Here is a 15,743-nt window from a genome sequence, read left to right as displayed (position 1 = left end):
TAAAACTTGCAGTGACCTCAAAATGGAACCAAATAAGATCATAACTGGCTACTAATATTGCAGTCTCTCGAACATTTCTTGATTGTTATAGTTTATCTAGAATGTTTCCCCTTCTACCAAAGACCAAACTCGTATCTTGAAAGTGGGTCAGGCTGCACAAGTTTCCAGATGAAAAAACACTAGATAAAGTCCACTTTTAACTTTTACCTACGGATTATACAATAATCCATAGGTAATTTGGATCATACAATAATCCATAGGTAATTTGGATCTCCTTGACAGACAAGGTTCTTCCTTTGCTCCAGGTAGAGACTAAATAGTGTTATTCTACTCTACCGCACATAGGGATTCTTTTTATTTTTCAGACAGGGTCTTGTGCTGTTGCCCAGCCAGGAATGCAGTGGTGCAATCACAGCTCACTACAGCCTCAACCTCCTGGGCTCAAGTAAGCCTCCCACCTCAGCCTCCCAAGTATGGGGACCACAGGTGCACACCACTACATCAGGCTAATATTTGTATTTTTAGTAGAGATGGAGTCTTGCCATGCTGCCCAGGCTGGTCTCGAACTCCTGGGCTCAAGCAATCCTCCCACCAATGCCTCCCAAAGTGCTGGGATTACAGGCGTGTGCCACCACACCAGGTCTCAAGATTCTTAACATGGAGAAACTGAATGAGTAAACTGGAAAAGATCCCTGTTCAACAGGGACACGTAACGACAACAACAAAAAACACCACATAGTTTTTTAGTGGCTTTCTGTGATTCTTGTAAATCATACATTTTCCTCCCTCTAATTTCCTTCTTCTTACTTCTCCAGATGTTTTCTTCTAAGTTTTTTGTAAAACTTAAAAAAGGAAAAAAGCATAATACAAACAATTTCTAAAATAGATTTGGGGGTAAGGTCTCTATGCCCCTTAAGTCTGTAATTATTAGTTGAATAGTTTTTAAAATTTTAAATATACTAACATGAGTATATTCCGGTATACCTTTCTGTAGGATAATGTGGTAACAAAAAGCATTAAAACAGACATTTTTATTTGGTCCAGCAATTCAAACTTATAGGAATATACGCTAAGGAAATAATCAGACAAATGTACAAAGTTGTGTGTTCAAGCATGTTCAATCCAATAGTTTTTATAATAGCAAAAAATTGGACACTATTTAATAGGGGAATGGCCAAATAAACCAGGGCAGAGAGTCACACAATAGTGTATATTGAAACCATAAAAATAATAGTGTAACATAATGATGTAAAAGATGTTCATCACATACTGCTAAGAAAAGCAGGTTATTAACATTATGTTTAGGACAGTTCATTTTTGTAAAATCAAAACCAAAACCTTACATATGTAAGTAAAATCTAGAAGAATATACACTACAGTAATAATACTAAAGTATTACCCATGGGAGGTAGGATTATAGGTTATTTTACTTTTCTTTTACCTATATTTTTGAATTTTTCTATTAGGATCATGAATTACTCCTGTTACAACAAACATCCAAAAAGCAATAATGTGGATAAAATGGTTTCTGTGAGTAACTGAACCAGTAACTTTTCACAGAGTAGTAGAAGCAATGAAAAATATACGGTTGGATGAGACATCTTGTTAACAAAAATCCAGGTAAAAGTTAACTGGGTATTAGGATAATATATTTAACAAGTAATACTGGTCTCTTTTAGACAGATGTGGAAATAAAACCTCAGCAACCATGGCTCTGTTGCTCCACGACTGGAGAGGTGGTGAATACGCAAATCTTTGTAGCTGCTTCAGGAGGCTCAGGAAATGGCAGGGCAGGGCAGAGCTAAGCGTGCAAGACAAGTCATCAGCTGTTGGCACATGGGTCTCTAAGGAGGGCAATCATACCCTCAAGGTAGCTATTTCTTTAAAAATTATAGTCTTGAATTGAAATTTTTCCAAGTTTTTCTTTTTTTAGAAATCAGTTAACAGAATAAAGATATATTAGGTGATATAGACAGGTCACTGAGATGAAAATTAAGACACCAAAATGCACTGATTGTCAAGAAAAAAAAGGGAAAGATATCACAGACACATAATGTTAACACACATTACTTGGTGTAATTTGTAACAACCAATTAAGCAAAAGCAGAGATCTGAGCTGTATCTTTATCTGCAGATGTCACAACTCTTTAAAAAAACACACACACAAAACATAAAGCAGGGGCAAGCAAAAGCTACACTCTGTATAGTAGCATCTGCAGTGTATCGATAGCAGCTCAGAGTACCAATATCCTCGGCCTGCACACTCCAGTGTAGCAATATCACAGCAGCAAGGACAACAAATCCAGTCAAGACAAAAGTCCTCACTGATATTGGCTCAGTATAGATTTTGCTCAGGTTTAGTGTTTTTGGTTTAACAGAATATAGGTAACAATCCTGGGAAAAATCTAAGATGTTACATATTTTAACCTTTTAATAGATCGAATATTCTTCAGCTGGGATAACTCCACACTGAGACTGGTGTTATATCTTGCAGCTTGAGCATTGCTTATGGAAATAGCTATGGCTTCAGGTGGGCAAAACTACGCACCAATAATGCAGGTGTTATCTATTATTCCTGTGACAAATGTATTGCTGGTGTTTCCATCTTTTCCTCATTAACTGTCATGTTTTCTCTAATTCTTTTTTTTAGGCCATACTGAAAAACCTAACACAAACCATAAACTATTTCCTGGATACTGGGAGCCAAATGGAATGTAATTTGGGCTTCTTGGGTAGATCCAGCTCCTACCTATTCGAGTATTGGCAAATACATCAGCTAGAGACCCACTGGTTCCTTTGACCTCTCCGTGGGACAGCGTAGAAGATGCGGATGAAGAAGTGGACGATCCCTGAATTGAACGGTTGATCCAGGACTCAGCATTCTGTAAGCTCTGTTGCAAGGCAGCAGAGAGCGCAGCTTGGCGTCTCAGAGAGCCCTCATCCTCAGAGGCCGAAGATGTGTCTGTGTGGAATTAGAAAAAAAGAAGTTCTCGATCCTACCTAGAACAGAGACTTTTCAGTTCTTGCTCATTGATCACACATTCAGTTTCGACACCAGCAAAACATTCGCATTCTTAAGGTAGATTAATATGTAAAGTTTCTCAAGAATCTCAAGGAAAAGTCTATGGACCAAAGCCTACAAAAATAAAATAGCCTAACTCCATAGGTAATTTTTAATTGTTTTCTTTTAAACTCTTTCAAAACATTTAAACTTTATTCCCTGCTTTTCTGTTGTAAGCTTAATCAGTATCTAAATTTTTCTAGTCCATCTACTTATGTTCAAATAATACTGAAGTACTTATATGTCTTCCTGAATCTCTTCTTGTGGTATGTTGCTACATTGATTTTGACAAAGTACTTATTAGTCTCTAAGGAAATGATCTTGACAGGGAGACATAAAAACTTAATTCTTGCTAAAAACGTATGTGCCAGGCCGGGCGTGGTGGCTCATACCTGTAATCCCAACACTTTGGGAGGCTGAGGCAGGCAGATCACCTGAGGTCAGGAGTTCAAGACCAGCCTGGCCAACACGGTGAAACCCCATCTCTACTAAAAATACAAAAAATTAGACAGGCATGGTGGTGCATGCCTGTAATCCCAGCTACTTGGGAGGCTGAAGCAGGAGAATCGTTTGAACCTCGGAGGCAGAGGTTTCGGTGAGCCACGATCGCACCACTGCACTCTAGCCTGGGCAACAGAGCGAGACTCCAACTCAAAAACAAAAACAAAAAACAAAAAACATACGTGCCAAACAGTGAGCTAGGTGCTAGGGAATGAAGTGGCGTAAACAATCCTTAGCCTGGACTTATTCATGGCCTTAGTAGGAAAGGCAGCCAGTCAGGGTGCACAGGTAAGCTTTCCAAGCATGACAGGAGAAGGCACAGCATCAGTATTTCTTTCTTTAATTTTCAGCTGGAGAAGAATTGTGAGAAATCCACTTATGTCTGTATTCAGCTTGGCTCTGACTTCAGGAAAATAGGCCTAAATTAGAAAAGCGTGCTGGGTGGGGGGTGGGTAAAAAAACTCAACCAAATATAGGGAAGCAAAAGCCGGGGAAAACAGAAGTCAGGAATTTATTTCAGGGTTCTAAGCTTATGAAGCACGCAGTTAAAGAGGGCATTTGGTCTAATGTGAGATAAACCTTTCTAAATGATTTCTGGGTGTTATGATTTACAACTTGTGGATTGAATTTCATTGTTTTTAAAAATTAAACATTCTGTGGTTAGTACTGCAGAACCCTTTCCGTCTAACTCAGGTGACACTGTAGGTTCATGTTCTGCTTTGGTTCAAAGAGCCAAATACATAACCAATGGGGCTGGAAAACTGCTGGCACCTCACAATGGGAACCTGAACCACAAAAGACTCATCTAATCTAGAAGTCAAATTCTGCAGGTCCAGAGCAAGAGAGAAAGTTAAAATAATGGGCCGGATGCAGTGGCTCAGGCCTGTAATCCCAGTACTTTGGGAGGCCGAGGTAGGTGGATCACTTGACGTCAGGAGTTCAAGACCAGCCTGGCCAACATCGCGAAACCCTGTCTTTACTAAAAATACAAAAATTAGCCAGGCATGGTGGTGCACACCTGTAATTCCAGCTACTCGGGAAGCTGAGGCAGACAAGAATCACTTAAGACCGGGAGGCGGAGGTTGCAGTGAGCAGAGATAGCATCACTGCCCTCCAGCCTGGGAGGCAGAGTGAGACTCCATTTCAAAAACAAAAACAAAAAACCCAGAAAGTTATATAATGACTATACCCTTGCTTCTTGTTCTGTACTACCTCCAACTTATTATTTCATATTGAGGAAGGTCTGAAGCCTGTGACTGTTTTTGCTTTTTAAAAAGTACTAATCACAACATGTGCCAGGAACTATGTCAAGTCCTAGGGGTTGTGAAGTGTATGAGTGCTTATGACACAGTAAGTGCCCTAAAAAGGCTTACAGGAGACACAGAAGCCCACAGATAATTTCAAAAGAATAAAACAGATGCTAAGAAACGGGAGTAATCAAAGGGTTTCGCAGGATGGGAACCAACCACAGTCAGGGATTTCAAGTACTTCTTTGTACATAGAGCAAAGACTTTGAAGAGTAAGGCAAAAAAATGAAAAAAATGAGGGTGGAGAGATAAATAGTGACCAGATCCCAAAGAGATAAAGTGATGAGGTCCATAAAGAAGAATGAGATCTATCATGCAAAAGGGGGGTGATTAAAAGAAAATTTAAAGAAAAAAAGAAGTAATCACATCTGTACCCCTTTAAGGAAAGCATTTTGTGTAATTTTCAGAAAATATTCTAACATTTCAACTGTACCCCGGGACACAAATATTCCTGTCTTAGCAAACATGTTAAAAAAAACAGAGAGGAAGTTGGGATAGGGCCCCTAGGATAGGTGAATTTGACCTTAAGAATAAAGTATTTTCAAGGTAAGTTATCTCAAGATTCCACAATCTCCATTGGATTTGTGGGCTGCTTTTATTGTATCATTTTATTGTATCATTTATATGTATTTTAATTTGTTTAAGTTTAAAATCAGAATAACCCAATTTTAAAAAGACAGTAAAACCAGTATTTTCATGATTAGGTTTATGGAAAATGGGTTTCATTATGTTTCTATATTGGATCAATTATGCAATTAGGTGTATTGTTTCAATTCAGTTACCCTGTTTGTCTGCCAGTCTTCAGTGTTTAATGACTTACAACTATGGGGCAGCTTAGCGTAGTGGAAAAAAACATGGCTTTGGTGTCAGTCTTCCATTCAAACTCTAGGATCCACCTCTTACTAGCTATGTGACTTGGGGATAAAATTACCCATCTGAGAAGACTGTTTACTTATTCGTCCATTTGACAAACACACTAAGCACTACAGTAGTTGGTAGGAATAAAAAGTTGGGCAAGAAGACATAGTCCCTATTCTTATGGGACTGAGATGAGTTAGAGGAGTTCAAGGCAGGCACCCAAGGAAGTAAGACCTAACCCAAGGCCTGATGGCTAAGTAGGGATTAGTTATGAAAGGCCCAGAGGTAGGGAGAGTGCAGCGTCAGGTAGAGGGGGCTGCACGCGAGAAAGCTTGGAGGGGACAGAAAACTTTTTAAAGATATTAAAGAAACAGAGACTAGCCAGAGCACAGATGCAAGACTGATAGTCATGGAGATGAGACTGGACAAGTAGGTAGCATTGGGCCACCAAGGGCCTTGTAAGACAAGCTAAGGAAACTTGCCTTTATCCTAACCATAGCTGGGAGACCATGAACAAAGACACTGTACAGAAAGCACCCATACTGGTGCCAGCCCATAGCACCTGGCCAATCAACATTAATTCCTCTTCTAATCCCCAGGAGAATGGTTAAAAGGAATGTGTATTTCTTTTTGATTTGGAATAACCTGAAATTTTTCCTAAGAGTAATTTAAATGGCTAATTGCTTCCTATAAACATGAAGGGAAAGATAGCAGAAACTGACTAACAGTTGGTAGAAGAAAATAATACTGTGCCAAATGATGCCACCTGAGAAATGAGGTGCTTACTATGAATAACTCAACCTATGGTCACAGATAAGAAACTATCCGGGTAAAGTTAAAAGACGATTATGTAGTGAAGTCTACATAAAATGTAGCACTGCTCTGGGATTGTATCTTTTTAAAAATCAAAACAAGGTCCCTTAAATATTATTTTAAAAGCAATTTGTCACCCAGGAAATTGTTATGAATTTGTAGAAATTTGGGCAAAATTAAATAATAGAAATTTATCATTTCCCTACTGATTCTGCTCTGATTAAAAATAAACTCATGACTGTTATCACTTATAAATAAAACATCTTCCCTAAGCTCTTATATATAACGAATACGCAACAGAAAACAATTCTGAAAACATAGTTTGCCTTTCAGTTTATAATCTGCTGTGATTTTAACAAGGCACCATTGAATACTGGTCACCAGAAGCCTACAATCCATCTATAACCAATTAGTAAACATATAAACAATTAGCATGTTGGCCGGGCGCATTGTCTCACGCCTGTAATCCCAAGCACTTTGGGAGGTTGAGGCGGATGAACTGCTTGAGCTCAGGAGTTTGAGACCAGCCTGGGCAACATGACAAAAACCTGTCTCTACAAAAAATGCAAAACTTAGCTAAGTGTGGTGGTGTGTGCCTATAGTCTCAGCTACTTGAGAGGATGGCCTGAGCCCAGGAATTTGCTAATTCCTTTTATTCTTTTTTTGAGACAGGGTCTCCTGCCTCAGCGTCCCGAGTAGCTGGGACTACAGGCGCCCGCCACCATGCCCGGCTAATTTTTTGTATTATTTAGTAGAGACAAGGTTTCAGCGTGTTAGCCAGGATGGTCTTGATCTCCTGACCTCGTGATCCACCCACCTCAGCCTCCCAAAGTTCTGGGATTACAGGCGTGAGCCACCACGCCCGGCCTCAGGCAAGCTTTTTTGACAGGTTCCTTTTTTCTAATTCACCCAACTGCTAAAGATGCAAGTCCCTCCAGGGATCTTAATTCCAGCTTGCAACCTTAGATGGGCCCAAGGTTTTATCATTATAGTTAACATTAAGGTCCCTGGCTTGCTGATTCTCCTCCCTACAGCCCAGCGGAAGTAAGCACCACCTCACCATTCTGATTTTTCAGTGTTCATCATTCTCCCTTGCTCCTGTATACATTTTTTAAAAAGCTGGTTACATTTTACCCAGTATTTCTAAAAGAACATTTTCTTTCCCCTATCTTTCTAGGAGATAATTTTCAGGTTATCTAACTGATATGTCTAAAAACAGAAGTCTGGGCAAGTTATTGAGCCTCTCTAAACCTGTTTTCTCTTCTGTAAAATGGGGTAGAAAACTGTTGAGTGAACTAAAAATGAAAAAAATATATGTTAAGCACTTAGCCCTTTGACTGGTACACTGAGGGCATGCAATAAATGGTAACCATAACATTACTCTTATCAGCAAACCTTAAATTTTACAATCAGGTATTGAAACAAATTCAACCGGATACAGTGGGTTTTTATTGTACTTTGGCTTAAAGAACACTGGATATTCACTAGTCTCCCAAGTAATTGTGGACCATTGGTCCTACCCCACACCAATCATAAAATACACTATTAAAATGATCTGACTCTATTAATTAGAGCACATTTATTATGGAGGTCTGATTTGCCAACTTTGTTTACTTTGTGGTTTAGGTTAAAATTAGAATATTTAGGAAAGACTCCCCAACCTGGTAAATCAGCAGGTATTCTAAGTTCAAATTAACTGACTGATACATATTTAGGACTATAACCATTCAGAAGACAACAGTTATTTAATTTGGTTGTAAAAATGCTCATTCCAGTACCATGCATACACGTGAGTATCTATTAGGGAAAGAGGAATTTTTTTTTTTTTTTTTCAGTTGAGGTTTCACTCTGTCACCCAGGCTGGAGTACAGTGCTGTGATTATGGTTCACTGCAGCCTTGACTGAAGTGATTCTCCCACCTCAGCCTCCTGAGTGGCTACAACCACAGGCACACACTACCATACCCAGCTAATTTTTAAAATTTTTATTTTATTTAGCACTATGAAGGAATTAAAAAAAATTATTTGTAGAGATGATAACTCTTGCTATGTTGCCCAGGCTGGTCTCAAACTCCTGGGCTGAAAGGATCCTCGGGCCTCAGCCTCCCAAAGTGCTGGGATTATAGGCATGAGTCGCGGCTATAAAGTAAATAGAATTTTCTAAATAAACATGACACTTCAGTGGAATAATGAACACAATCAAGATTTTGAGTTTGACACTTAATTGCTATTTGACCTGGGGCAAATTACTTAGCGACTATGAACTTGCTTATTTCCTTATCTCTAAATCTGCCCTTCCTACTTTACAGAGTATTTATGAGAAACAAATGACACAGGGCGGTCATTAGTATGTGAAAGTTCTTTGCATACCATAATGTACTATAATTCCATGAAGCATTATTAAAGTAGGTTAAAAGGATAATATCCCAATCTGTTGCTGGGTATCATTTTCATATATAGAAATATAGAGCAGGGTGTGGTGGCTCATGCCTATAATCCCAACACTTTGGAGAATCTCTTGAGCCCAGGAGTTTGAGGCCAGCTTGAGCAACACAGTGAGACCCCATCTCCAACTCTACAAAAAATAAAAATATTAGCCGGGTGTGGCAGCATGCACCTGCAGTTCCAGCTACTAGAGAGGCTGAGGTGGGAGGACTGCTTGACCCTGGGAGTTTGAGACTGCAGTGAATTGTGATTGAGCCACTATACTCCAGCCTGGGTGACAGAGACTGTGTCAAAAAAAAAAAAAAAAAAAAAAAAAAAAAAAAAAAACAAAAACCAAAAAAGGAGGGAAATTCTCCTTGTCTTCTGGCCCTATGAATTACTCTAGCTACTCTCAAGCAGAGTCCTGTGTGAGACAGACTTCTAAATTTAAGCTAGTTGAAATAGCTTACTGTGCTTTAGGGTCATTATGTGGTCTATTTGGTCATCTGTGCACTCTCAGAACGCAGCAAAGGGTAAGTCCACAAGGGTGCGGAAAAAGCTTAGAGGGAAAAAATATATGCTGTAGTTTTTGCGTTGTGCTTTTCCGTATGAATGAGTAATAGCATTACACAAAGAACCCCTACAAAGAAAGAGCTGAGGTAATTGCCTCATGACATTAGTAAATGATTTCAGCACATAAAGGGAACTGGATGGCAGTAATTCAAGCAGTCTAAAAGACTCTGAAAAAGGCCACAAGCACTAAAAGAACCATAGATTGCTACCAATTTAGAGAATTTAAATTTTCTAATTCACAAGATAGAAATTAGTGTACATAATTCAATAAGCAAATTTTAGGGTGACTGACATCTTATCAGGTGATTTGTGAACAAAAGACAAATTATTTCCCATGCCAACTATTTACCATATTTTCCAGACTATATGATACTATAAATAAAGCCAAAATATCTGACATATTTTACTCCTTAATCCTTTTTATTAAATCCCTCAAAAAGAGCAGCTCTAAATTTTCATCAGTTCAGTAATTCAAACAGTTACGTATTGAGTGCCTCCCAAAGAAGCTGACTGGCTGGTGCACTCTAGAAGTTATCCCAGAAACCAGGTGCATACAAGACAGCAAGTGCAGAGTGACAGCCTTGACCCAAGATGTGCTTTATGATGTATGCTGTAACATCTCAGGCAGTGTACAAAGAAAGATGCAACTAAATCCTGTAAAATATTAGGCTATTAGGCTAATTTTTCCCTGCAAGAGTGGTACAACTTTTTGTTTGCTTTTTTTTTTTTTTTTTTTTTTAAAGAGATGGGGCCTCACTCTGTCTCCCAGGTTGGAGTACGGTTGATTGATCTCGGCTCACTGCAGCCTTGACCTCTGGGGATCAAGCGATCCTCCCACCTCAGCCTCTCAAGTAGCTGGAACAACAGACATGCACTACCACAGTCAGCTAACTTTTTAATTTTTTGTAGAGATGGGGTCTCGCTATATTGCACAGGCTGGTCCCCTCCTAGGCTCAAGCAATCCTCCCACCTCAGCCTCCCAAAGTGTGAAGATTACAGGTATGAGCCAACACACCTGGCCACAACTGTTTTATTTATTTATTTATTTATTTATTTGAGACGGAGTCTGGCTCTGTTGCCCAGGCTGGAATGCAGTGGCGCGGTCTCGGCTCACTGCAAGCTCTGCCTTCCAGGTTCACGCCATTCTCCTGCCTCAGCCTCCCGAGTAGCTGGGACTACAGGCGCTGCCACCACGCCCGGCTAATTTTTTGTATTTTTAGTAGAGACGGGGTTCACTGTGTTAGCCAGGATGGTCTCGATCTCCTGACCTTGTGATCCACCCGCCTCGGCCTCCCAAAGTGTTGGGACTTCAGGCGCTGCCACCACGCCCGGCTAATTTTTTGTATTTTTAGTAGAGACGGGGTTCACTGTGTTAGCCAGGATGGTCTCGATCTCCTGACCTTGTGATCCACCCGCCTCAGCCTCCCAAAGTGCTGGGATTACAGGCGTGAGCCACTGCGCCCGGCACCACAACTGTTCTTAGGTCACTTTTGTTTTGTTTTTTGAGATGGAGTCTCGCTCTGTCACCCAGGCTGGACTGAATGGCGCGATCTCGGCTCACTGCGACCTCTGCCTCCCGGGTTCAAGTAATTCCCCTGCCTCAGCCTCCTGAGTGGCTGGGACTATAGGAACGCACCACCACACCTGGCTAATTTTTGTATTTTTAGCCGGGACGGGGTTTCACCTTGTTGGTCAGGCTGATCTCGAACTCCTGACCTCCTGATCTGCCTGCCTCAGCCTCCTAAAGTGCTGGGATTACAGGCATGAGCCACCGTACCCCGCTTTAGGTCACTTTGGTAGCTGGCCAGAAGCTCATTTTTTTTTTAAAGACTTTAATGGCAATGATTAATGTAAGTTTTCTTCCTCCTCCCTTCCCTTGAACACAGCCTCGGCATCTTCTAAGCTTCAGTGTTTCTATGGCTATCAGAGTACATATGCGAGATAAAACCTATTCCACATCGCTGGGTTAGGCTGTAACAAGTTCTGGGAGATACTGATGTAGGATTAAGCTACAACTAGGCATTGGAAACAGCCAATTGGTAGCTCTTAAGATCTTGGAGAGAATGGAATCGATTCCTAATGTGGGAACAGCAAATTCTACTCCCTAAAATGAAAGGGGCTAATGGAAGCCTTATGATAAGAGTTCTTCCCAAATTTCCTCACTAGAGCAAAGTATTTGTCTTAGGCATGTGTGTAATTGTTGCATGACAGCATCAAGATATCCCATGTGGGGGCTGTGTGAGAAATCACTATGCAGGGTGCGCTCAATGTTTCCCCTTGTTGTGAGAGAATTCCTCTTCTATTTGACAACACAGATGTCCCTCACAGCACATGAAGCCTTCTCAGATACTACCCAGAGATCCCCAGAACAGGAGATAAATGGGTACAGAACCTTTTTATTACTCTGTTCTGCTGAATACAAGTCTTAGGAGAAAGGATTGTATCTTTGGAATCATGAAATTATTATGTATAAAACATATAATATGATCAAGAACATTAGGCCACAACGTCAAGGCTGCAGACAGAGGAGAACATTAGTGTCTAGAAATACAGAGGCCTATAGTTAATTTCAAAGGACTACAGTCTCATTCAGCAATGAACAGCTGCGATTTGTTTCTAGAGTTCGTGAATTCCCCTCAGGCAGTGACTTTTGTAAAAGCGGATAAAAAAGGTTTCCACTCCTTCTGAGCATTCTCAAGGTCTTTGCTGCATTCTCACATTTCACCCAAAGCCATAAGGGCAGCCTATTTACTCTGAAACTGCATGTCTTTGATACAGCTTTGGAGGGGATTATTTCCAAGAACTACATGTCATGCTGCTCCCTACCCTTTGCCATTTACTGCAACTGAACCCTCAGCCACACTGCAGTGTAATCTGCCAAAAAGGAATAGCTACTAAACTGAGAGCCCCCTTTGTCCATGAGGACCCAACTTGTGCTGTACTAATGTGGAAGGGAAACCATCCAAGATTTTCAATGAGTAGGTTTGAGGTATGCACCATTATAGACACAAACTGTCTTACTGTGATAGCCGGCTAGAGGTACCCTGTGATACATTTTGAGAAACACTTGAAGCCACAGAGCTATTTCTCTTTCAAACATGTTGACACCACAGATGTGAAGAAAAAAAGCACACACAGTAAATGAGCCCACAGCATACCCAAATGCTCTGAGAAGTTAGCCAAAACCGAGAAGAAAACTATTAATATTAATCTGGATCAGGGAATAGGATCAGTATGAACAGCTCAACAACTTGACAGCTGTGAATCAAAGTCAACCATAAGGCAACCTAGGAATCTCCCCAAAGACGTATTAAGTAGTTTAGGCCAAAAAAGTATGGGGAAATTTGTTCTCAAAGATTTCATTACCAGTAACATGAAAGTAGAAAGAGAGACACTATATTGAGGCTCTGAAATAGATTTACTATGTTTAGTCTCAAAGGCCTATATCAAGATCTTGTCTGGGATTCGATCTAAAAAAAATTTTTTTCGAGCTTCCACTAGAGAAGTTCAAAAAAAATTTTTTTTAAGGTTTTAAAAAAACTTTGGGAGAGATTCTGAACAGACAAGACAACTTAGATTGTTTCTAGTTATTCCTCAAATATGAAGTTATAACTCTTTAAATTTACCTTAGGGAGCATAAGGATTGAAGTCTGGTGAACAGGGATGGGATGAAGATACCTAGTTCTCACTGATCTCATGACCCCGTTATAAAAAGTAGATTCTTAAAAAATAAATAAATGTGTACAAAATACATTAACACACACACACATAAACACACTTATATACGTTTTGCAGGTCCATCACAACTTTGCATGATTGCTCTTCCATAATTGTTAATGACACAAAAACTTTTGTCCCAAGTCCAACAATTCTCATGCCTGCTGCAGAGACGAAGCATTTGGTTTAGGAGTACAAATGAATTAGATATATGACTACAAGTAGTATATTGGGTGACAATGAAAGTGGCTATTTAACACAGCAGGATTTTGGCCTAAGCTTTGGCCTGTATTTATGACTACATAAGTCTGGGGATTACAGCCAAAAAAAAAAAAGACTGGAAATTCAGAAGGAAAGTTTTTTTGTTTAGTTTTGAATAGTTTTACTCTTAAGACATCTTTTTGTGTGTTGTTTACGAGATGACAAGCAAAATCTGCCACCTCAGAGTGTTCTCTTACATTCCTCTAATGGCGGGGAGAAGATTCTGGTTCTTACCTCAGAAAAGAAAAAGCAGAACTTATTTCAGGAACATCAAGGTATTAACTGTCAGAGAGAAAAAGCTCTGATAAACCTACCAGGAGGTGTGCAGGCATCTGCAGGAGACTGAACAAATGTGGATCGCCTTTTGGTTGGCATGGGCAAAGCCATCTTCTGTTCTTTATGCTTTGCCAGTGCAGCCTGAACTGCTTCTGTGTGGATATCTGAAAAAGCAAACATTTGCATTTATTAGCTTCCGGCTCTTGAAAGTGTTTACCACTGTGAGCTGAACTATCACTGCCTCAATTGTTTAAAAAAAAAAAAAAAGGTAAAGGGGACGTTCAGATGATTTTTATTTATAATTTGATTAAGACCAATTAGAAATAAAAATCAAAAACAAAAATAAAAGAAGCCAGGGATAATTTTACGGAGGAGGAAAATGAAGTCCAGAATGATGTGTGACTCCTTAACACACCAGACAAAGAGTTGACAGAGATGTGGGGAGGTGGGTGGGGACAGAATACTGAGTCTAACATGCATCTGTGCCAAGCAGGAAATTCTGCCTCAAATGGAATGAGCGCTGTGCAGGTGCCTGGAGAACACTCATTATTTTTCAAGAAAAGAAGCTTAGGATTTTCTTAACTGAAAGAAAATTTCTTTCAAGTCTGAAAGAAAACTTGGTTGAGACCCCTCAGTTCTATGCCACAGGAAGAGAAGGATTTATTTTGATCTAGAAAAACATAAGGGCAGATGTTAATTGTTTGCCACTTTGGGCACAAAAAATTTCAGCTCTCTACTTGAATGTCTAATAGGAATCTCAAAATTAACACATCCAAACAAAACTCTTCATTTTCTACCCCCACTCCAAAGGTCACTCTATAGTTCCACAAAATTGAATCATACTGTACACAGTATTTTGTATCCCGCTAAAAAAAAAAAAAACTCTTACAAAATCTTACTGAGGTAGATAACAGCTGAGGTAGCTTCCTAAGTCACAAAAAAAATAGTTTCCTTTTGTCTAGGAATGGGCCTAATCCACAAACAAACTATCCTTCCATACCGCTCTGTAAAGTAAATATACCCCTTATAAGAGCTAGACCAATGAGATCCTCTTTTTTAAATTTAAACTCTGAATCAAGAAACTGCAGGTCCTAAATGGAATCACTTTAACGACAATGTGACAATGCCCTAGAAAGAAGGAAGGTTTTAAACTTCAAGGTTGAGATTCCCAGAGTTATCTCTCCTTTCTAGGGGTTTTTCAAATGTTGATTTGTTTCTATGACCTACCTCAGCTATTTAAGGTAGCCTATGTAAGTTGACCTGTTTTTTTTGAGATGGAGTGTCGCTCTGTCGCCCAGGCTGGAGTGCAGTGGCGCAATCTCAGCTCACTGCAACCTCTGCCTCCCAGGTTCAAGCCATTTTCCTGTCTCAGCCTCCCAAGTAGCTGGGACTACAGGTACACGCCACCACGCCCAGCTAATTTTTGCATTTTTAGTAGAGGTGGGGTTTCACCATCTTGGTCAGGCTGGCCTTGAACTCCTGACCTTGTCATCTGCCCGCCTCGGCCTACTAAAGTGCTGGGATTACAGGCGTGAGCCACCACGCCCGGCCAGCTTCTGTTTCTTGCAACCAAAAAACCTCCACTAATACAAGGAGAAACACCTCACTGTGTACAGACCAACAACATAACTTTTAAGGGCTGCATAGTATTTCACTGCATGAATGTGCCATGATTTACTTACACAATTCCTTATTATCAGATACTAGGTTATTTCCAAATTTTTGAAATTATTCATAGAAAGAATAATTCAGTATTTTCACCTTAGCACATGTCTAATTATTTTCTTAGAATTAATTACAAAAACTGCTGAGATCAAAGTATATGTACTTATTTCTTCAGAAATGTTTCAAACATATTTCCTAAAAATAAGGAATTTTCTCTTATATAACCCCAGGACATTATTCAAAATCCAGAAAAATTGGCCGGGTGCAATGGCTCACACCTGTAATCCC

The 15,743-nt window shown here is 39.9% G+C and overlaps 1 protein-coding gene across 1 annotated transcript in view, besides 1 other annotated feature; it reads right to left on the bottom strand.

Annotated features, from left to right (window-relative positions):
• Positions 1-15,743, bottom strand: part of DIP2B (disco interacting protein 2 homolog B) — a 243,673-nt gene that overhangs the window by 74,510 nt on the left and 153,420 nt on the right. Inside the window, exons 4-5 of the mRNA NM_173602.3 lie at positions 13,829-13,954; positions 2,750-2,962 (exon numbers count right to left, since the gene is read on the bottom strand). Coding sequence (NP_775873.2) covers positions 2,750-2,962; positions 13,829-13,954 — 339 coding nt within the window. The remainder of the gene's footprint in view (positions 1-2,749; positions 2,963-13,828; positions 13,955-15,743) is intronic.
• Positions 12,685-12,744: an enhancer, noted in NCBI's record as "active region_6363". NCBI's record gives its function as "activates an Ori minimal core promoter by ATAC-STARR-seq in GM12878 lymphoblastoid cells {active_cell/tissue: GM12878}" and the evidence as "EXISTENCE:reporter gene assay evidence [ECO:0000049][PMID:35858748]".

Source organism: Homo sapiens, chromosome 12 (assembly GCF_000001405.40).
Source record: "Homo sapiens chromosome 12, GRCh38.p14 Primary Assembly".
Lineage (NCBI taxonomy): Eukaryota > Metazoa > Chordata > Mammalia > Primates > Hominidae > Homo > Homo sapiens.
Note: the sequence above shows the minus strand (reverse complement) of the source record. Positions and strands in the feature narration are given on the sequence as shown.